The sequence below is a fragment of the Homo sapiens genome, chromosome 14, assembly GCF_000001405.40.
Source record: "Homo sapiens chromosome 14, GRCh38.p14 Primary Assembly".
Lineage (NCBI taxonomy): Eukaryota > Metazoa > Chordata > Mammalia > Primates > Hominidae > Homo > Homo sapiens.
In genome coordinates, this window is record NC_000014.9 from 65,002,464 (window position 1) to 65,025,166 (window position 22,703).

The window sequence follows — 22,703 nt, forward strand, 5'->3', positions numbered from 1 at the left end:
CTGGGCGGGGTGGTGGGCACCTGTAATCCTAGCTACTTGGGAGGCTGAGGCAGGAGAATCACTTGAACCCAGGAGGTGGAGGTTGCGGTGAGCCGAGATCATGCCACTACACTCCAGCCTGGATGACAGAGACTCCGTCTCAAAAAAATAATAATAATAAAATAAAAAAAAAGAAAGACCGGGGTTGCAGCAGAGAAGGAGGTTTAGTCATAGGGTCACCTGATGAGGAGATGGGAAGAATCCTCAAATCCCTCCTTGAGGAATTTGGGGTTAGGGCTTTTAAGGGTTTTGGAGTGGGCTGAAGTGCGGAGTGAGGAGTTTGTTGATTGATTGAAAAGTGTAGGGTGAAGTCATTGACAGGGAGATAAGGAAGCTGTATTCTCAGGCAGATCCTGTTCCTTTGTGGGGGTTTTCAAACTGATTGCTGGACTTCAAAGTCTGAAAAACATCTTAGATGATCCTTAAACAAAAGTCTTATGATTCTAATGTCAGAGATCCTGGCTCTGTAGGAATGATGGGATACAAATGGTCAGACGTTTAGCAACCAGGAAGTGGGCTGAAGTGCAGCCTGATTCATGCTTAATTATAACTGTATTTCTGTCCAGAACCCAGCACGCAATTTTTGTCAACCATGTGGGGCGGTTTTAGCATTATGGTGTGGTCTTCAGAAGAGAAAGATCTGATTTCTTTTGTGACCTGACTTTCTGAGATCCTTCATTTTATGGGACTGTGGAGTCCTGTGTGTGACGTAGGACCAGAATTTGCTATTTGTTTTGGTGTTTCAACAATTGATGTTGTTATAAATCTCCCAGATGATTTTAATATTTTAACTGTTCAGTTTTACAATAAGAAGCATGACTGTAGGCAGAAACTAATTATGTATTTGAGAGTGGTGAGTTAATGAACATCCAAACAACTTCATAGAGCAGGAAGAATACATATTTCAAGTGGAGGGGAGAAAAAAAATCATTTTCCCTCTACCCTTCTAATTTCTGGGTTGGAACCACTATAACAAACCAACAGGGTAACAAAAGAAAAACAAGCAGAAGTTTGTTAACATGTATGCTTCATGTATACATAGGAGATACCCAGGGGAAAATGAGTAATTCTGAAAGAGGTGATCTAGAACTCCAGCTTCTAAAGCATTTTCAACTAAAAACAGAGAAGATTGTGGGCGAAGCCAGTTATGGGGAGGTGAACAGGACAAGTATGGTAAATAAGAGTAATGTTTGTTATGCAGATTTCAGTAGGTGCCTTCTCCATTGATAATAGTTTCCTCTGATTTAGTCATCCTTCTCTTTTGGTACGGAGAGGGAAACACTCTCACAAGTGGAGATTTCCTTTATAGATGTCAATTTCCCTCAAAAACTGGTATACTCTGTTTTCAGAGTTTCTCCTGTAGCTGCAGTTTCTCAAAATAATCCTTATGCTGTTGAGGCATATTTTGGGGTGGCATATGCTCTCCCACACAAGCAAGAGACATCTGTCTTCATCTGCTCCCAGAGTAACTGGTGCCAGGGAACCAAACACCAAAACTGCCATTAGTTTGGATATTATGGATTTGGTTTCTGGAAAAGTCCATTGTGATGCCAGCATGGTACAGGGGATTCCCTCTCGCCTTGTCCTAAGCCTGTCATCCTGCAGAACCCATCTTACAGTACTGTGAAGTTCCAGACCATACCAACCAACCCTCGCCAATAGGCATTTGTGGCAATAGGAAGAAAAAGCTGATGGAGGTCTCATCTGTATTTGTTTTCTCTCTCCTATCTCCTGCATCCTTACCAGGCAAAAGTAGAAGAAAAGATCCAAGAGGTCTTCAGTTCTTACAAGTTCAACCACCTTGTACCAAGGTAAGCTGTGGTTAGGAGTTTGAGGGGATCTGGGAGAACACCACCATGCAGCAGCCTTTCTTCTTTCCTCCTTGAGCGAATCTAACCACGGGGAGCATCTGCTGCAAGAATGGTGTTTCTTGTCCTTGTGGTTACCTGGATATGCTAAGACCCCCACTCCTCCCTCTGGTAGAATACTGTTTAGAGCGATTCTCCACTCGAGCTGAGCTGCCAGGTGTTACATGGGGATTCCCCTCAATGCCTCAATTCTGAGGTCTGAAGATGGAGAGAGGAATTCCAGGTTTTTGTTTAGTGGTGGCCTGCTGCTCTGGTCTTCAGATGAGAACTCTCAGGTTTTTCTTTTTCTTTCTTTTTCTTTTTTTTTTTGAGACAGCGTTTCGCTCTTGTTGCCCAGGCTGGGGTGCAGTGGCACAATCTCGGCTCTCTGGAACCTTCGCCTCATAGGTTCAAGTGATTCTCCTGCCTCAGCCTCTCAAGAAGCTGGGATTACAGGCACCCACCACCACACTCGGCTAATTTTTGTATTTTTAGTAGAGACAGGGTTTCACCGTGTTGGCCAGTCTTGTCTTAAACTCCTGACTTCAGGTGATCCACCCGCCTCAGCCTCCCAAAGTGCTGGGATTACAGGCGTGAGCCACTGTGCCCGGCCCAGATTTTTCTTTTTCATATTGTACTTTGAAACATTTAGAGTCCAGGGAGATGGCAAGGGATGGATTATTATTTGACTGGAAAAACATGGGAAGTTTGAGTTTCTCCATGCCTACTCCCTGTTGGTAATTGTGTTCCATATCCCAAGGATGAAATTTCAAACAAGAAATAGAATGCCTTTTGTTTTCCTTGGAGCTTAGCAAGTTGAAGTCTTCTAAGTCCTGTGAGGTCAGGTATTTTGAAAAGGGAATTATAGGAAAAAATTTATTATTTAATTTGAACCTTTATTTTCTCTTCCAGTGTTTTGTAATATGTCACACTAGAATTTCATAAGGTTATTTCATTCTTGTATTAGTACTTCTCATGCAGTCAGAGTCTTTTTTTGAAACCATTATTTGTTATATTTCCAGCCATCAGAATTGATCAGTAGCCTAAAACTGTGTGGTCACCATTTTATCTTAATGATGGAACACTTTCTCTTCCTTTCTTTTCTTTCTTTCTTTCTTTCTTTCTTTCTTTCTTTCTTTCTTTCTTTCTTTCTTTCTTTCTTTCTCTCTCTCTTTCTCTTTCTCTTTCTTTCTCTCCTCTCTCTTTCTCTCTCCCTCTCTCTTTCTGTCTCTGTCTTTCTCACTTTCTTTCCTTTCTGTCTGTCTTGTCTTGTCCTGTCCTGTCCGGTCCTGCCCTGCCCTGCCCTGTCTTGCCCTGTCTTGCTCTGTTGCCCAGGCTGGAGTGCAGTGCCCTGATCATAGCCCACAGCAGCCTTGAATTCCTGCGAATCCTTTCAGTGCAGCCTCCGCAGTAGCTGGGACTATGGGAACACATCACTATGCCTAGCTTATTTTATTTTTGTTTTTATTTTTTGTAGAGATGGGGGTCTCACTGTGTTGCTCAGGCTTGTCTTGAGCTCCTGGCCTCAAGCAGTCCTCCCAAAGTGCTGAGATTACAGCTGTGAGCCATGGCACCTGGCCGAGAGAACACTTTTCCTTGACATCTCTGAACAAAGTGTGGTTAGGTCACTGGCTGATTCACTCTGGCTGGGAAGTTGCAGGTCTGAAGTTCAGCCTTTCCTCCTTCATCATGTCTCTTGACTTCTTGAGATCTTCTAACAGACTAAATCCTAGCAAGTCAGTCTCTAGGTACTTCTGCTTACTGGAACATTATAAATAGGTCCAGCTTTGTTTGTTACCTTTGTGTCTTTTTTTTTTTTTTTTTGCCACCATTTCCTTAAGAAACTTTTTCTGATTAGCCATGGCAGAAAACAGTTGGAAAAGGCAAGTGTTCATAAGGAAAGACAGGTGGGAGGGTTAACTTCATCTTTGTTCCCTGGGGAAGGAAAGGAGGAAAAATATCAGCTTACTAGTATAGTCTTTCCCTTAACTGCTAAACCAAATCTCTGCATTAACCCAATGCTCTGACCTCAATAAAATGAATTATTCCTCTTGTCATGAGATACAGCTAGAGATTAGCAAATGACGCCATTTATTTAAATAGCTTGGGAGAACGAGCTCTCTTAAATGTAATGGTATCCTTGGCAGTTCGCTGCCCCTAGGCACAAGCTGGTTCAAGCTTAGCCTCCCCAGAGGGGACAAGACTTCATAATGGTGAGGGTGTGGGTGATTGCTTTTGGAGGGGCTTTGTTGTTGTGGTTGTACCCCCGATGACTCACCCGATCGGGCTGAGTCACTGTCCACTGCCTGGGCTCTGGGGACACACAGCCTCTGTTTCTCACATGAACCTTTGATTATTTGACATTCCCTTTTCACTTACCATCAGGATAGAGCCCTTGGTCTCTTTCATTCCTTTTTTAAAATTTGTTTTTCCTTAGCTCATGAGCTGAAGAAAGACTTTTATTCACACTGAGATATGAGGGAAAATGGGAGGTTATAGTCTGGGAGGAAGCAGTTGTTTTTTGAGAGTGGTGGTAGATGATATTAAAGGAGTGAAATCCCCTGATTCATAGCTGGTAGGTCAAGTATGGGTGGGAAAAAAAAAGTGTTCCTCCTGGGCTCGGATCCTTGTGGAAATAGAATATATCAGGGCTCTGGGTTAGTTTCAGGAATTTCACAATTACCCGTTTTTATCATTGTTGCCTATGAAATTGAGTGTTTTAAAGGATGCTAATTAATATTGGAGATACTATACATTTTGGCTGAATGGCTGAGTATATAATTCAACATATCAATATAAGGCTGAAGGCAAACATCACCATCATAGAATAAGCGAGGATATAAGAATAAATTAGAAAATTTATCAGAATTTTAAATCATTATCACAGTCTCAATATTTAACATATTAATAGTCAAAATTTAAAAGTCTGACACTTTAATACAGGAAGTAACCTTCACTGTTAGCTGAAGTGCATGGTTAGCTGTTAGCAGTAAATCTAGATGGCAGGGCTTGTTTGTGTGTCTGAGGTCATGATGCTGATCAAATGGGACAGACTCACACACATGCCCAGGACCACAGACCACGCACAGGTCCAGGGATGCCTGTGATGATGCTGAAGTAGGCATTTGCCTATTCAGTGTTCCAGGGCCAAAGCTGAATAGCAGACTGGGCTGAAAGTCAAGCCTGGAGCTGAATGTCAGTACATTCTATACTTAATCCCCTTCCCAGAAATGATTTTCTTCTCTAAGGTTGGGACTGTCTACCTGGAGTGAGGTAGTCAGTCCCAAGGAGCTTTTTGACCATGCTTTTCATGGTTTTGTTTATTCATGTCTGCTTTCCCATGAAAATTCATTTTTTCTTCCCTGTGGGTATTGTCACGGTTTCACACCCTTTTGAATGTACCCTTTTGCATTTATCACCTTGGCTTTAATAAGAAACCTGAAATGCATAAACTACACAGATACCTCGCTCACATGTAGTTTTTAAATTTGTTTTCTCCTGGGCAAGGAGACGGGTGCTCCTCAGAAGTGAGAAATATTGATAATGTCCCTGTGCTAATAGAGCCCTGGAGGTTAAGTGCTGACAATGGCTCTGAAGCCAGAATACTCTGAGTTAAAGTCCTCAAAGCAGGTCTCTCACAGGCACCAGCTTAGCTCCCGTGTTTTCTACTATTCCTGTATGTGATACAATTTTAGAATTTCCCAGATCCTGAGCAGGTAGAGGATGTATTCCCTTCTTACTGTTGTTCTTTCCAAGGTCTCACAAATAAGTTCACCTTTCCTCGATTGCTTTATTGCTTACATGCCAGGTGCTTATTTTTTGACTAGAGAGGCCCCTGGCTTTAGTGAGTTTAGAAAGTCCCCAGGAACCAGCAATGGACTGAATCCCCTGTCCTCTCATCTGTCACAATCAAATGCATGTTTTCCAGGATGGCCCAGGTTTGGGGGGAGGAAGTGGCTTTGCTCTCATTCCATTCTGCTGCCTTTGTGTGATCCTCTCTTTCAGCAGCAGTATCTAGAGAGTCTCCAAAGGACAGGACACTCTGCTGGGCTCAGGGAAGCCAGAGTGAGCAAGGCTAGCCCTGGGCCTGCCCCTGCTGGGCTCTTGGTCTAGTGGGGGAGGTGGACATTAAACAAATGAACACAAATATACAGTTACCGATGGGATAATTTGAGAGAGAGAATCACTGGGAGAATCTAATTTGGATTGGGAAGTTAGGGAAGGCTTCTTACAGAAAGTGACATTTAAGCTGAATCTGTAGGTGGAATAGGGGTGGCTAACTTAAAGGATGGGGAGAGTGTTCCAGGCAGAGGGAACAGCATGTGCTAAAGCCAGGAGACTGAAAGGAGCGGAGCTCAAAGAAGGCAGCATGACCAGAGCTCAGGGGCGGAGATGAGGTTGGAGAGTAGTGTGGGTGGAGGCACATTGTGAAGAGTCTGGAAGCCCAGTGGGCTCACCCCTCATAAGAAATTCTATTTAAATCATTACCCAGTACACATAGATGTGTAAGTTCCTTCTCAGACAGTGGAAACCTGACTTCCCATAGCCTTAATAGATTTACCCACTTGCTCTCCTGTCACCCTCTGCACAGTGAGACGGGGGCCCTCCTCATCCACTTGAGCTGACAGCCTGCATCCCACCCTGCACCCCCTCAAGTCCTGCACGAAACCTGTCTTATTCTGCTCCATGTAATTGAATGGTTTTGGGGCTGAATTGTTCAGGTAAAAATAGGAAGAGCTCTACCTTTTCTTTCTTAACTTCCTACACAGAAAAGATTTTTGGATAGAGGTGAGTTGAGAATGAAGGACCGGTGAGGGTATTAGTCAGCTTGGGCTGCCATAAGACGGTATCACAGATGGGGTGCATTAAACCACAGAGATTTATTTTTTCACATTTCTGGAGGCCAGAAGTCTAAGACCAAGGTGTCAGCAGGCTTGGTTTCTCCTGAGGCTGCTGACTGGCTTCACCAACATGTTATATTTCTTAATTTCACTGGCGCTTCACTAACTGCCTTATAATCCTTTTATTCGTCTCATGTAGATTCCCTAACACACCCACCACCGTGGCCACTCCACAGCTCTCCCACCATCTTGACTCCTAGTTCCTGAGAAAATCGAGGCTGACCCACCTGACTTTCCTGTTTCCTTCTTCCCACATCAGAGACCTATATTTCGCTAGCTTCGTACCCATCATTTCTCGCTCAAAGAATGCAGCATCCTTCCTTATTCCAGGCTCACCTCTCCTACTATACCCTCATCCCAGCCCTCCTCCATCCTCTTTACAGACCTTCCCTATGGATTTCCTCTGAGCTTTTGCATTTCTAATGTGGAATTTCTCTGCTTACTGCCTTGTACTTTTGATCCAGCTGAACTAAACTAACTCAAATGTGTCATGGTGTTTTCTTCATTTTGCCTGCTTAACTCATGTCTTTCCAGCCTTAAACTCAATGCTCTTCCCTTTGGGAAGAGTTTTCTGACCCTCCATCTCTTCCCGTGGCTGATCACAGCGTTTATTGGACAGGGCTCTGCTTGTCATTTTCACATGTGTGTCCACCTCTGGACTGTCGCTCTAGGGTACAGAGCAGCCTCTACCCCAGTGCTGGACAACACTCTGCCCACACAGATGGGTGCTCCCTGCGTCCTGAGTGGACTTTCCTGAAAGAGAAACTGAGTCTGGCCTTCTCTTGTTTACAATTTGCCTTCACCTCTGCTCTGAATGCTCTTGGAGGTCTCTAGCCCTTCTGTGGTTTGTTGTCTTTTCCCCTCAGTCTTGCTGCAGCATCTGCCACTGTTAAACACCTTCCTGAAATTCTCTCCTCCCTGATGGCCTGTGACATGACACTTCCTTTGCTCTTCCCTAGCATATGTAAACTCTCCTGTTTCTCTCCTTCACTGGCTCCTCCAAACCCTTAGAGATGGGTCTTCCCACAGTTTTGTTTCCAAACTTCTCTCTCTGCCCTCTCACCTTCTGTGGCTTCACCTGTCACTTGTGTGCAGACAAATGCTTCGTAGTCTGTGTGTGTAACCTGAATCCCTCTCCTGAGCCTCACGTGTGTGTCCAGCAGCCTGATTGACATCATCACCTGAATGCAGTCCCAGCATCCTAAGACCCACACATCCAAAAGTCAGCTGATCACGGGTCACACACTAGTTCGGGCCCTAAGTAGCCCCAACTGGGTCAGCTCCTCAGAGCTTCTAACCCTGTCTCCCCACCCCATCTGTCTGCCCACTGCGATATTTTCAGATACTTCAGTTTGTAAACACATACTGACTACCTACTGTTTCTCCAAAGCACAGTTCTGATCATTTCTTTCCTCATCTCAAAAACCTTCAGGACTTCCCTTTGCCTAGTAAATTGAGTAGAAATGCCTTAGTCAGCATCCCAGATCCTTGTTTTTTTGTTTGTTTGTTTGTTTTTAAACTGGGGCAGTACTCCTGCTTTCCTCCCATTCCTCTTTCATCCCTGTATTGAGGTCAGATTCTCCCACCTGTCACTCCTCTTGTACACTTGATACCTGTGCAGCATAGTAGAGTAGCCATTAGCCACCTGCAGCTATTTAAACTTGAATTAAAATTGAATTAAAATTTTCTCCTTCTGCCAGGGCCACTCATCGCACATTCCTCCTTTTTCACACAAACTTTCCTGATCATTCCTTTCTTCATGAGATATCCCCTCCCTTTTGAGCCTCAGTAGTATGTTTTTCCCTTGCAAAACCTACCCATTCTTTCCTTGTAGCCATTGATATACTTACCTCATTTCTGAATTGGAAGAGTTTTTGAGGTAAAGACTACATGAAGGGCTGGGTGCGGTGGCTCACGCCTGTAATCCCAGCATTTTGGGAGGCCAAGGCAGGGGATTACCTGAGGTCAGGAGTTCAAGACCAGCCTGGGCAACATGGTGAAACCCCCGTCTCCACTAAAAATACAAAAATTAGCTGGGTGTGGTGGCACGTGCCTGTAATCCCAGCTACTCAGGTGGCTGAGGCAGGAGAATAGCTTGAACCCAAGAGGTGGAGGTTGCAGTAAGCTGAAATCACACCACTGCACTCCAGCCTGGGTGACAGAGCGAGACTCCGTCTCAGGAAAAAAAAAAAAAAAAAAAAAGACTGCATGAAGGCTCTTACTCTGAGCCAAGTACAGTGGGAATTTGATAAACAATTGTGGAATTGACTACCTAGCAAAGGGAATGGTTCTCTTTCCTTTGTTTCTGTAATCTGCAAGCACGGGGAACATCTTGACAATCTGTGCTTTTTGTTTCCTTCCCTAGTCACACAGGCTCTTCTGCCAGACCAAGAAAGAAGTGCAGCCTCTGTGCTTTGCCCGGCCTGTGCAGGTGGCCATGGGCGGCACATTCCATCTTAAAGCCAGTATTGCTGACTTGAAAGCCAAGGACAGCGACTGGCTGCAGAACACGGTCCTCTGGCCAGGGCTGTGGGTCACACGTGGGAGGTGGAATTTCAGGGAGAGAATAATAGTTGGATAACCGAGAGGCAGGCAGGGAGTAAATTATGGGCCTTGGAGAAGTCATCCCAGACGGGGTGACTGAAATGACAGCGGCTGAGGCAGGGAAGTGGCGAGGCTCAGATTTAAATTGCTTATAGGATGGGGAGGCACAAAGATATCTGTTCTTAGATGCTGGAGGAAGTTTCTGGGTGGACTGTCATTGCCTGGCTGCGTGTGCTCATTGCGGCTTTTCCGTTAGCCCAAAGTCACTGCCTTTAGGAGACAATCGCACTCTAAATGTCAGCTGGCATGGTTTTCAGATGCTTTAGAGACATTCAGACAAGAGCTTCTTTTCTCTGGTTTAGTTGCTCTTTGGAACCAGAGAAGTTGCTGGTTATCCAGTCAGTGATTGCAGGGGGACGTCCTGAAGCTGAGTGTTTACCCGTGTGTGTGTACGTGCACATACGTGTGTATGGTGGAAGCATAAGCTATTAGAATGGGCTTATAAACTGTTTGTCTTTCCAGGCTTGTTTTGCAGAGGGAGAAGCACTTCCATTATCTGAAAAGAGGCCTTCGACAACTGACAGATGCCTATGAGGTAAACACATTACCCAGGAACTCTTGCTGTCAAATTATCCACCAAATCCTCCTCCTTTTTCTATTTAAACGTAAAAGACTGTTGGGGCTGACCTGTTGCAGAGTCACTCTTTGTTCTCTGTGGCTCTGGCAGGAGGTAGGGTGCTGTCACAGAGCTGGGACTCAGCCCTGAAAGGGCAGAACCTAGTCTCTTCCAGAGTGAGTGGAGCACCCTAGATAGGATGGGGCTTTCTTCTGTTACTAGATGATGACTAAGGGGTTCACGTGCTTTATCTAGACCTCCTTGACAGCTGGCTAAATGCCAGTTACCTGTTCACCCTTAACCCTTTGCCCTATAAGCTGATCTAATTTCTCGCTCATTTATTGAGGACTATTGTCCAAACCTGTTAAGTCTGTATCGTGATGGTTACAAATTTTCCAACTTCACCACTCCTTCTAGTAAGTACATTACTTTTCATATCTTCATTAAAGAGACAAAAAACCCTTTCTTGTAATAAGATCTAATTTCTATACTGACTAGAGGACCAGTATAGAGAGTGGTCCTTGCAATTTAACATTACTGTTTAAGAGTAGATCTTTAATATTTCCCAGAGCAACGTCAGGACTGGGTGACGGTGGAGGGGACAGATGTTGGATGGGACTGAGCGGCAGGCAAAGGGTGAATGTGAACAGGAAGTCTCCAGTCTTTCTGCCCTGCTTAACACAGAGCAGCATCTCTATTTTTAATCTGCTTTTTATTTGGGTTCCACATTTGATTATTTGTGGCAATGATTTGCCAACTCAAATGCCTGTAGGGCCCAGGCAGGCAGCATAAATCAGTGAAGTGGGCTGCATGGAGACTGAGGCTAACTGGAGACCCTGTGCCCTTAACTTCTTTCCTGCCCATTACTGCCATCTGGGAATGCAGACCCAGGGTTGCCAAATCATCTTTGTTTCCTTTTTTTTTTTTCTTCCTCCAAATGAAGCCGGAAATCACGTTTTCATGTGACTCTCCTGACAAATGTTGCAGCTACTACCAGTTAAACAATACACATCCATGGGCTAGATTTGGCCTGTGGGCTATGAATTTTCAATCCTTGACTCAAGTCCTCAATAGTTATGTTACAGTTGGTACCATATCAGCTAACAATTTATTGAACAGTGTGCTGAAAGCTTACCATGCATTCTCTCATAATTTATGAGATGGAGTCTCGCTGTATTTCCCAGGCTGGAGTGCAGTGGCATGATCGTGAGTCACTGCAACCTCCGCCTCAGGTTCAAGCGATTCTCTTGCCTCAGCCTTCTGAGTGGCCAGGATTACAGGTGTGCACCATCACGCCTGGCTAATTTTTGTATTTTTAGTAGAGACAGGGTTTCACCATATTGGCCAGGCTGGTCTCGAGCTCCTGACCTCAAGTGATCCACCTGCCTCAGCCTCCTGAGGCTCTGGGGTTACAGGCGTGAGCTACTGCGCCCAGTTGCATTCTCTTATTTAAATCTTGTAACTACATGAGGTAGATCAATCTCTTGTTTTTTGCAGATAATGAAATGGGCATAGTAAAATTAAGTCATTTGCTCAAAGGCACATAGCGAGTAAGATGAGGAGCTGGGATTCAAACTTAAGCTGCATCCCTGGCAGTGTCTTCAGTAGCTCACCAGCCTACCTTCCAGGTGGTGGGTTAGCCACAGCTTGGGATATCAGCATAGTTTTGAAGAGAGCAGCTTGGGCCAACGGAAAGAACACTGGATTGACTCTAAAAACCTAGGTTCTTGTCTCACCTCTGACATTTGCTATTTTTATAATCTGAAAAAGGTTAATCTTTGGACCTCATTTATATATTTTAATTTATAAAACTGGGGCAGTACTCCTACCTACCCTGCCTAGCCTTGAATGCTCAATAATCATTTATGGTTTAATTAGGATCAAGAGCCGTCTGCATTTTGCCTTTGGAAGCCTTTCCTAGCTCCCCAGGCAGAATTAGTCAGTCTCTTCCACGTGCTCCCTCAAAACTCTGTTTTCGTCCATTACAGCATTTCTCCAGGTATATGTACACGTGTTGGTTCCAGAAAGACATGAGGTAACTTATATGTCTGTCCAGTGCTCTCTTCCCCTACAGGTAACCACACACATTCTATATCCCAAGCATCTCAAGAACAGAAACCAGTTCAGGCATGGTGGCTAATGCCTGTAATCTCAGCACTTTGGGAGGCTCAGGCAGGTGAATTGCTTCAGCCCAGGAGTTCAAGACCAGCCTGGGCAACATAGTGGGATGCTGTCTCTATAAAAACTTAAAAAATTAGCCAGGCATAGTGGTGTGTGCCCGTAGTCCCAGCTACTTAGGAGGCTGAGGTGGGAGGATTGCTTGAGCCCGGGAGGTTGAGGCTGCAGTGAGCTGAGATCATACCACTGCACTCTAGCCTGGGTGACAGAGCGAGACCCTGTCTCAAAAAAATAAACGGTAGAAACCAAATTTTATTATCATCCCCCCAGTGTCTAATACAGTGCTTGGCACAAGTAGATACTATCAAATATTTGTTGAATCAGTGATTGAGTTAAGCTAGGAAATCTCTTCAGAGAATGTATATCTCCTTGGTTCTATACCGAGAAAATAGCAGCCCCTAACCTCCTGGCCTGTAGGAAGTCCTCTGCTCAGCCTTCCTTAGATGCCTGCCAGGGAGGGATCCACTGGGTTCAGGGTCATCTTTTTTTTAATCCTGTTGTCTTTTTTTTCTTTTCTTTCTTTTTTTTTTTTGAGACGGAGTCTTGCTCTGTCGCCTAGGCTGGAGTGCAGTGGTGCCATCTCGGCTCACTGCAACCTCTGCCTCCCGGGTTCAAGTGATTCTCCTGCTTCGGCCTCCCAAGTCGCTGGGATTACAGGCGCACATCACTATGCCCAGCTAATTTTTGTAATTTTAATAGAGACAGGGTTTCGCCATGTTGGCCAGGCTGGTCTTGAACTCCTGACCTTAAATGATCCACCCACCTTGGCCTCCCAAAGTGCTGGGATTACAGGCATGAACCACCGCGCCCAGCCTTGTTATCTTTTTTTTTTTTTTTTTTTTTTTTAACAGATGGTCATTTCAGCTCCTGGCTAAGGCCACAAAGCAAAGTGTCCTTTATTCACTGATTGTTGTTTGAGCAAGGGTGCCCTCCTCCCCCTTGCCAGGCTGCTGGGAGTGAGACAGATACAGCCTTGGCAGCAGTGTCTTGGAGTGATTGTGAATAAGGGATGTTTTCTCTCCTGTCTCTCTCCCAGTGTCTGGATGCCAGCCGCCCATGGCTCTGCTATTGGATCCTGCACAGCTTGGAACTGCTAGATGAACCCATCCCCCAGATAGTGGCTACAGAGTGAGTCTGTCTTTGGGAAATCTGGGGTGTTCTCTGAAATTGTATTTTGAGTTTGGGATTTTGTTTTGTTTCTGTTTTGTTTGTTTGGAATGGAAAAAAACAGTGCCACAAAGAAATCTTTGCTCTTCTCATGACCTCCGGCAACTTCCTGAAACTCCTCCACTTTAGAAAACTAATGTAAGCTGGTGGGTAGAACAAGACTTTGAACTTCCAAGAGAAGGATTCTGGTTTCTTCTGTGGCCTTTTCTTTTGGCTCTTGACTCTGGTCTTTGAGAAAAGTCTTAATCATCAACTCTGAGAGACAAGATTTTGCCAGAAAGTACAGTATGCATTTGAACAGCTTCTGTGGGGAAGCACGTGCCAGTCCAGTGAACAAAAATGCCTTTGCCTTTCCTACGCACCTCTATAGAAGTACCTCCCCGCTCCCGGTGCTTGGAGCGACCATGTAGCTCTTGATGGGACTGGATGTGTTACTGGTGTGGCATACAAATGCCATGACTCTCAGTTTTCCTAAACCTGATCGATGATTAGAGATCTAAGCAACTGAGCTTCTTCCCAAGATCCTTGTACAGATGGCATTCGTGATCTGGCATCTCATTCCCAGACACTCATCACCATTTATATATTAAAGAAGAAAAGACTGATCATGACTCCAGTCCTAGGGATACCTGGAATAAGAAAGGGCAGCCAGGAATTGGATCCAAGAGATCCACTGAGAGGCAGCATGGGCTCTAGGCAGCATCTCGAATTTCTCAGCTTCCTCTGGTGCTCTTGAGGTCGAAGCATCTGGGATGAGAGACTTCTGAGCCAGGTTTGTTTCTCCACAGCACAAGGAGGCAGCTGTGCTGGGACACACAGAGGCCTAGCCGGGGCCCCTCTCTGGTCACAGAGCCCCTGCCTCAGTCACATTGTCAGGTCAGAGGAACAGAACTGCACATTGTCTCATTCATTCTGTCTTAACAATAACCTCTCATTCTTGCCTTCCTGGGCAGGGTGTCTTGTGATGAATGTGGATGGGGAAGATAATAAAGAATTAGGCCATTAACCCTTGTGGTACGTAGGATGCTTTCTGAGGGAGAGGCAAGTGCATTGTTTTGATCATCGGGATGCCACTGCAAGCCTGGCTGCTTCCAGCACTGGAAGGAGAGTTGGACACAGTTTCTGCAGTAACAGGAATTTAATTGTCAAAGAAAGGCCCACGTGGTTTTTTTTTTTTTTTTTTTTGAGACAGAGTTTCACTCTGTCACCCAGGCTGGGGTGCAGTGGCACAGTCTCAGCTCACTGCTGCCTCTGCTTCCCGGGTTCAAGCGATTCTCCTGCCTCAGCCTCCTGAGTAGCTGGGATTACAGGCACCCACCACCGTGCCTGGCTAATTTTTGTATTTTTAGTAGAGGTAGGCTTTCACCATATTGACCAGGCTGGTCTTGAACTCCTGACCTCAGCTGATCTACCTGCCTCGGCCTCCCAAAGTGCTGGGATAACAGGTGTGAGCCACCACATCCAGCCTCGTGTGTTTTTGAAATACCAGCTCGGGGGCCTGGGGATTGTTTGGGAAGTTTTCCCTTCACTCCTACACAATCAGGATATTTGGAAAGTTTTCCCTTCACTCTTGCACAATGGGAAAGTTGGGTGTGAGAGAAGAAAGAAAAAATGGGGATTTCTGTGAGCCTGGATCTGAACGCTGGATGGAGGAGGCCGCAGACCCATGAAAAACTGGAAGAGAGAATCACAGGGGGTGCCTGAGGTGGAAGAACTCGAGCCAAAATCGACTGAGTTTTTTTCTAGGCTGTGTACTTGGTGTTTTATAGTGAAGGCTTTTCTGAGGAAGTGTCAGCGCCGCTTCTGGGGCAATGTCACATAGGAAGAGAGGAGCCTTTAAAGGGCCTTTCATTGGAAGCAATCTAAATTAAATATCAACAGTAGAGAATGTTTAAAAAAAATTTTTTTTAAATGTAAAGCTGGGTGTGGTGGCTCACGCCTGTAATCCCAAGCACTTTGGGAGGTTGAGGTGGGTGGATCACTTGAGGTCAGGAGTTTGAGACCAGCCTGGCCAACATGGTGAAACCCCATCTCTACTAAAATACAAAAATTAGCTGGGCATGGTGGTGCATGCCTGTCATCCCAGCTACTCGGGAGGCTGAGGCAGGAGAATCGCTTGAACCTAGGAGGCGGAGGTTGCAGTGAGTCGAGATTGCGCCTTTGCACTCCAGTCCGGGCAACAGAGTGACACTCCATCTCAAAAAAATAAATAAATAAAATACATAAATTTAAAAAATAAAACATAAGTCATTTATGGTGCAGTACATTCTGTGAAATACTATATAACCATTAAAAAATGTATAAATGTGGCCACGCATGATCACACCTGTAACCCCAGCACTTTGGGAGGCCACGGTCAGAGGACCACTGGGGCCCAGGAATTCAAGACCAGTCTGGGCGACATAGTGAGACTCCATTTCAAAAATAAAAATAAAAATAGCTGGGCGTGGTGGTGCACACTTCTAGTTCTAGCTGCTCAGGAGGCCGAGACAGGAGTTCAGGGGTTTGAGGCTGCAGTGAGCCATGATGGCACCACTGCATTCCAGCCTGGGCAACAGAGCAAGACCCTGTCTCAATAAATATATGAATGTGTATATTTGTATGTTAAAATATATGTATTTATATAGAGAGATGTGAAATGAAAATAGTTTAAAAGATTTAATTTACATACATTAAAAATATAGATGATGATATGCATAGATAGAACCAGAAAGATACATGTAGTAGTTATTTCTGGACGATGGGGTTAAAAGTGATTTTATAAACTTTCTGGGCTGGGCACGGTGTCTCACACCTGTAATCCCAGGGCTTGGGGAGGCCAAGGTCGGCAGATCACCTGAGATCAAGAGTTCGAGACCAGCCTGGCCAACATGGGGAAATCTTGTCTCTACTAAAAATATAAAAATTAGCCTGGCTTGGTGGTGTATGCCTGTAATCCCAGCTACTCGGGAGACTAAGGCAGGAGAATTGCTTGAATCTGGGAGGTGGACGTTGCGACGAGCCAAGATCATGCCACTCTACTCCAGCCTGGAGGACAGAGTGAGACTCTGTCTTAAAAAAAAAAAAAAAAAAAGGCCAGGCGCGGTGGCTCACACCTGTAATCCCAGCACTTTGGGAGAACGAAGTGGGTGGATCACCTGAGGTCGGGAGTTTGAGACCAGCCTGGCCAACATGGAGAAACCCCGTCTCTACTAAAAATACAAAATTAGCCAAGCGTGGTGGCGCATGCCTGTAATCCTACTCAGGAGGCTGTTTGTTTGTTTTTTGAGACAAGAGTCTCCTTCTGTTACTGCACTCCCGGCTCCTACTCAGGAGGCTGAGGCAGGAGACTCGCTTGAACCCGGGAGGCGGAGGTTGCGGTGAGCCAAGATTGCACCACTGCACTCCAGCCTGGGCAACAAGAGTGAAACTCCATCTCAAAAAAAGAAAAAGAAAAAGAAGAACTTTCTGGCTGGATGTAGTGGCTCATGGCTGTAATCCCAGGACTTTGAGAGGCTGAGACAGGCGGATTACTTGAGGTCAGGAGTTCGAGACCAGTCTGGCCAACATGGTGAAACCCTGTCTCTACTAAAAATACAAAAAATAGCCAGATGTGGTGGCTGGCACCTGTAATCCCAGCTACTCGGGAGACTGAAGCAGGAGAATTGCTTGAATCCGGGAGGCAGAGGTTGCAGTGAGCCGAGATCACACCACTGCACTCCAGCCTGGGTAACAGAAGGAGACTGTTGTCTCAAAAAACAAACAAACAAAACATTTTTTTTAAGCTTACTTGCATTTTCTGAAGTTTCTACAATGATCTTTTATTATTTTGTAATTAAAAAAGGAATGGTTTAAAAATAAGCTGATTTGTCCTTATTTCAAAAACCACTTGACAGTTAATGAGAGTTTCTGCTTCACAGATGCCTTAAAAGCTTTACCTGTGGTTCTTCTACGCATTGATTTAGTGAACTTTTAAACATTTCTTAGACTTCCCAATAATGTATTTTGCTTTGTGCCTAGGAGGTGGTTACTTCTAGGTGCAGAAAACACTTGTTATGAACAAAGCCTACTGGCTCTGACCCATAAGGAAATAGATTATTTTTAGTAAGATACAGATAAATCTTAAGGACTTCTATATAAATAGAAGATTTTTTTTAGACTAGCTGAAATAGAATATTGCCTTTTTATTTATCTTGCACAGGGAAATGAAATGCTTTGAAATGCGTTCAGTTTTCTTTCTTCATACAAATATATTAAGGTGACCTAGAGTCAAAAAGTCTAGCTCTGCAGTTTTATTATTTTCCTGCCTTCTTTTCCCCTGCATGTAACACACACGCCCCCTACACTTACACAAAGGTTTCTCTTTCCTATTTTGTTCACTGCTGTGCTTCTATTTGTTTAGGGAACAATATGATAAGCTGGGTTCCCTCTAGTGGACAAAATACTTTTGTCAGCTGCTATGACCGCTGACCAAAGCCAGCAAGGCGAGGTTGTTACTGCTGGTATCAGAGGTTTCAAGAATAATGTATTCATAGCCTGGAATGTTTTCTTTATTTTTGGTAGAGACAGTGCCTTGCTGTGTTGCCTGGGCTGGTCTCAATCTCCTGGGCTCAATTGATCCTCCTGCCTTAGCCTCCCAAAACACTGGGATTATAGGCGTGAGCCACCATGCCCAGTCCATAGGTAGGACTTCAGCTTGCCTCTTTTTTTTTTGAGAGTCTCGCTCTGTTGCCCAGACTGGAGTGCAGTGGCACGATCTTGGCTCACTGCAACCTCCACCTCCTGGGTTCAAGCAATTCTCCTGCCTCGGCCTCCCGAGTAGCTGGGACTACAGGCATACAGGCGGGAGCCACCACACCCGGCTAATTTTTGTATTTTTAGTAGAGATTGGGTTTTACCATGTTGGCCAAGTTGGTCTCGAACTCCTGACCTCAGGTGATCCACCTGCCTCAGCCTCCCAAAGTGCTGGGATTACAGGCATGAGCCACCGCGCCCGGCCTTTTTTTTTTTTTTTTGAGACGGAGTTTTGCTCTTGTTGCCAGGCTGTAGTGCAGTGGCATGATCTCAGCTCACTGCAACCTCCACCTCCCGGGTTCAAGTGATTCTCCTGCCTCAGCTTCCCAAGTAGCTAGGATTACAGGGGTGTGCCACCACGCCCAGCTAATTTTTGTATTTTGTAAAGACAGGCTTTCAACATGTTGGCCAGGCTGGTCTTGAACTCCTGACCTCAGGTGATACACCTGTCTTGGCTTCCCAAAGTGTTGGGATTACAGATGTGAGCCACCGCACCCGGCCTAGCTTCCCTCTTTTAAGAGGTTATATGCACACATTTATATGTGTTTATCTAAAATGAATTAATATTTTGGAACTAGACTAAGTACATTTGCTTTGCTTAATGGTTTTGGCACTGAAGGAAGCATCCTCTAATGAGAATCCCATTCTTTGTTACTGAAAGCAGCTTCAGTGAAACAGAGCAAAATAAAATTCACAGGGAGACCATCGCACTGTTAAAGTTATGTTTTTAGCTTCTGTAAGATTTAAAAATTGCCTTTAACTTAAAAACCATTTTAGGACATTTCAGCTTGTAAGATTTTTCCAAAGATAAATTCAAATTTTGCTATTTCAGTGTTTTATCCTTTCCCTTTCAAAAGGTTGTTAGTAGCTTATCCCCGGAATAGCCCCTTAAATATTTTTCCTTTTAATTTTTAAGTCTAGTTTGTATGTTTCCTTACCTTTCAGTGAGGACACCATATCTAGGCCTTTGTCTCCTGGGCATTTTTCCTGGCCAGGTGCTGTTGGCACCTGGTGGGTGCAGGTCAGAGGTGCTGCTAAATATCCTCTACAGGACGGTCCCTGCACCAAAGAATTACTGAGCCCCAGTGTCAACAGTTGAGAAACTCTGCTCTAAAGTAGCCAACTTTTTTTTCCTTTGAGGCAGTCTTGCTGTGTCCCCCAGGCTGGAGGGCACTGGTGCAATCTCAGCTCACTGCAACTTCCACCTTCCGGGTTCAAGCGATTCTCGTGCTTCAGCCTCCCAAGCAGCTGGGACTACGGGCGCATGCCACTATGCCTGGCTAATTTTTGTATTTTTAGTAGAGATGGGGTTTCACCATGTTGGCCAGGCTGGTCTCAAACTCCTGGCCTTAAGTGATCCGCCCACGTCGGCCTCCCAAAGTGCTAGGATTATAGGCGTGAGCCACTGCGCCCGGCCTATAGTAGCCAACTTTCGACCTGACCATTCTTCCAGAACAGCAGCCATCCAGAGACTTGCCGGTGCTTGATGAAGAGTCAAATAACACGTCTGACTCTGTGAGCAGCAGAGGCCACCCGGAATCAACAAGAGATGCTGCCCGTCTTCACCTGTCCATTGTCATATTCTACCTAGGGAAGGAGATTTCCTCTTCACTATATCAAGCTGAAGCTGTTTTAGTTAGTACGAGAACAAGCTTGATGTGATGCCAGCTCATGCATCTTGCATTTACATCCCCTCCTAAGCCGTTCTGCCCATGGATGACTGTTCCTATTTCCAAAGCTGTAATCTTTTTTTCTGTTTTTTTTTTTTTAAACCTGCCCAATTGTGCAGAACATAGCTATAATTTTTATAACTTATCCTAGGCCTTAAGTCTGTCTATGATAGCCTAGTCTAGTGCTGAAGTTTTTTATGTAACCTAAATACTTCTTGCTACAAATTAGTCTCAGTTTTTACCTACTAGAATGTTTATGTAATTATCCTTTGTATATTTGAGGTATTTTGCTGGGTAGCTTTCTCACTGTGATTGTCTGTAATATTAAGCTTTTTATATTATTTTAAAAATAGAGATAAGGTCTCGCTGTATTGCCTAAGCTGGTCTCAAACTCTTGGCCTTAAGTGATCCTCCTGCCTTGGCCTCCCAAAGTCTAGGGATTACAGGCACGAGCCACCACACCCAGCCAAATACTTAAAAAAAAAAAAAGTAGTCATTTTTACAACTCTCATGTGAATTCCCTTTGAGGTGGAAAATGGAGGCTAGAGCCAGATACAGTTCTGACTAATACTGCATTTATGATGCTTTTAACAAGCATTTTTATTGTTGTTCTTCACAACTCGTGGACCCTTATTACTGGTCTTTTCCTGCTATGTTCCTAGTCATTTCCCATATTCATGTGCCTTACCCATCCCCCACCCCTGCCATCTCTAAGCGTAATTCTTGCTATTTGTACCTGTTGCATTTGTTTTATTCTTATTGGTTTCTGATTTGTTTTGCTGCTCATTTTGTATTATATGCTTATTTACTGTACATGCCTTTGAATCCTTCATCCAAACTGATGACGGTGTTTAGAATCAACATTGATTAATTGATTGAGACAGGGTCTCACTCTATTGTCTGGGCTGGAATGCAGTGGCACAATCACAGCTCACTGCAACCTGGACTTCCCCAAGCTCAAGTGATCCTCCCACCTCAGCCTCCTGAGTAGCTGGGGCTAGAGGTGGGTGCCAACGTGCCTGGTTAATTTTTATAATTCTTGTAGAGATGGGGTTTTGCCATGTTGCCCAGGCTGGCCTTGAACTCCTGAGCTCAAGTGATCCCCCTCACCTCAGCCAAAGTGCTGGGATTACAGGCATGAGCCACCACGCCTGGCCAGAATCAATCACTTTAGATCAGTCCTCAGCCATCACCTAAGAGTCCCAAGTAAACTCCTTATAAGGCTGAGAGGCAATCGCTGATATCCCTGCTTTGAACTTGACCCTCTTACAAGATTTACATACTCTTTAATGATGGAATGATAAAAGTGGTGGTGTCCAGCAGAACTTTCTGTGATAATGAAAATGTTCTATATTCTGTAAATGTCTATAGGTGTCTATAAACATCTATACGTGTTCTATATTGGCCACTAGCCACAGTTAGTTGTGGAGTACTTGAAATGTGTCTTGTGTGACTGAAGAGCTGAATTTTCTATTTTAATTAATTGAGAATTTAAATTGCCTCATGTGGCTAGTGGCTGCCTATTGGACAGCACAGATGTATCTCATTGCTACTCAAAATGTGGTCCCCAGACCAGGAGCATTGCTATCACCTGGGAACTTATTAGAAATGAGGACTCTCAGCCGGGCATGGTGGCTCACGCCTGTAATCCTAGCACTTTGGGAGGCCAAGGCGGGCGGATTGTCTGAGCTCGGGAGTTCGAGACCAGCCTGGGCAACACAGTGAAACCCTGACTCTACTAAAAAATACAAAAATTAGCTGGGCGTGGCGGCATGCACCTGTAGTCCCAGCTACTCGGGAGGCTGAGGGAGGAGAATCACTTGAACCCAGGAGGCAGAGCTTGCAGTGAGCTGAGATCGCTCAACTGCACTCCAGCCTGGGCGACAGAGGGACACTCCATCTCCTAAAAAAAAAAAAAAAGAGGACTCTCAGACCCATCTAGTTCTACTGAATTAGAGCTGCAGTTTAGCAAGATCCACAGGTAATTTCTATGCAACTCAAGTTTGAGAAGCACTGATACCTGGCTGAACATTGGAATCACGTGGGGAGTTTAAAAAAAATACTGCCACCTGGGTCCCACCCATAGTGATTCCGGTTTAATTGGAATTAGGTGTGGCTTGGGTGTTGGGATTTTTTTAAAACACCCCCCAAGTAATTTTAGTTGTGCAGCAAGGACTAGTGATGGCTCAAGCTTTGCATGTATCTGAATCACCTGAGAATTTGGTAAAAATACAAAGGCCCAGGATCTTTTCCACCTCAGCAGGACTGGGTCTCTGTATTCTTTTATTAGCTTTCTACAGATTCTGATGCACACATTTTGGGTTTGAAGATCCATGATATAGAAGATAGTTTCCCACTTTGCTGGTAATTGGCACGTAAGCTAGAATGAAATGCCTTGCTGACGTTAAAGAAAATTGATGTATTGCAGCTTTCAGTCATATTCTAAAGGAATGATTTTGTGAATACTTGTTTTTCACAAAATGTGCCACTTGGTGTTTGTACAATGTTTTTTGCTTGTAATTTTTTATTTATTGGTGAACTTCTTGTCTCTATGATAAGTTTTTCTCCCCCTACATTTGTGGGAAAAAAAAATATTTTTTTGTAGAGCTGGGGTCTCACTGTGTTGCCCAGGCTGGTCTTGAACTACTGGCTTCAAGCAATCCTCCTGCCTTGGCCTCCCAAAGTACTGGAATTACAGGCACAAGCCACTATGCCTGGCTCCTTTTTTTTGTTTGTTTGTTTTTTTTAAATATGTAGAAGTATCATTAACATTTTGGTCTTCAGAATTGCTAAGAAGTCTGTGAATGACAGCTGGTAGTTCATAGTCAACTTGCCAATTCCTTAAGGTGCAAGTTGGAAAGCCTTGGGATCAGAATGTTCTGTAATACGGAAGTGTCTGAGATCAAGAGAAGCCCAACCTCCAGTTCTCTAGCACAGCCCCAGACAGTCAGATGCAGCATGTCAGCTG

At 44.7% G+C, this 22,703-nt stretch overlaps 3 protein-coding genes across 5 annotated transcripts in view, besides 2 other annotated features; 2 read left to right on the top strand and 1 right to left on the bottom strand.

Annotated features, from left to right (window-relative positions):
* CHURC1-FNTB (CHURC1-FNTB readthrough) overlaps window positions 1-22,703 on the top strand; it is a 148,295-nt gene that overhangs the window by 88,103 nt on the left and 37,489 nt on the right. For both annotated transcript variants that reach the window (NM_001202559.1, NM_001202558.2), the window contains 3 exons: window positions 1,786-1,850; window positions 9,854-9,926; window positions 13,162-13,253. In NM_001202559.1, coding sequence (NP_001189488.1) covers window positions 1,786-1,850; window positions 9,854-9,926; window positions 13,162-13,253 — 230 coding nt within the window. The remainder of the gene's footprint in view (window positions 1-1,785; window positions 1,851-9,853; window positions 9,927-13,161; window positions 13,254-22,703) is intronic.
* FNTB (farnesyltransferase, CAAX box, subunit beta) overlaps window positions 1-22,703 on the top strand; it is a 75,756-nt gene that overhangs the window by 15,569 nt on the left and 37,484 nt on the right. Inside the window, exons 2-4 of the mRNA NM_002028.4 lie at window positions 1,786-1,850; window positions 9,854-9,926; window positions 13,162-13,253. Coding sequence (NP_002019.1) covers window positions 1,786-1,850; window positions 9,854-9,926; window positions 13,162-13,253 — 230 coding nt within the window. The remainder of the gene's footprint in view (window positions 1-1,785; window positions 1,851-9,853; window positions 9,927-13,161; window positions 13,254-22,703) is intronic.
* Window positions 2,630-3,829: an enhancer, noted in NCBI's record as "MED14-independent group 3 enhancer chr14:65471811-65473010 (GRCh37/hg19 assembly coordinates)". NCBI's record gives its function as "activates an origin of replication core promoter dependent on BRD2, BRD4, P300/CBP and CDK7 cofactors, and independent of MED14, by STARR-seq in HCT116 cells {active_cell/tissue: HCT116}" and the evidence as "EXISTENCE:reporter gene assay evidence [ECO:0000049][PMID:35650434]".
* MAX (MYC associated factor X) overlaps window positions 3,638-22,703 on the bottom strand; it is a 96,595-nt gene continuing 77,529 nt past the window's right edge. For both annotated transcript variants that reach the window (NM_001271069.2, NM_197957.4), the window contains one exon: window positions 3,638-3,821. In NM_001271069.2, the coding sequence (NP_001257998.1) occupies window positions 3,741-3,821 (81 nt within the window). In that variant the 3' untranslated portion in view covers window positions 3,638-3,740. The remainder of the gene's footprint in view (window positions 3,822-22,703) is intronic.
* Window positions 17,558-17,607: a silencer, noted in NCBI's record as "silent region_5846". NCBI's record gives its function as "represses an Ori minimal core promoter by ATAC-STARR-seq in GM12878 lymphoblastoid cells {active_cell/tissue: GM12878}" and the evidence as "EXISTENCE:reporter gene assay evidence [ECO:0000049][PMID:35858748]".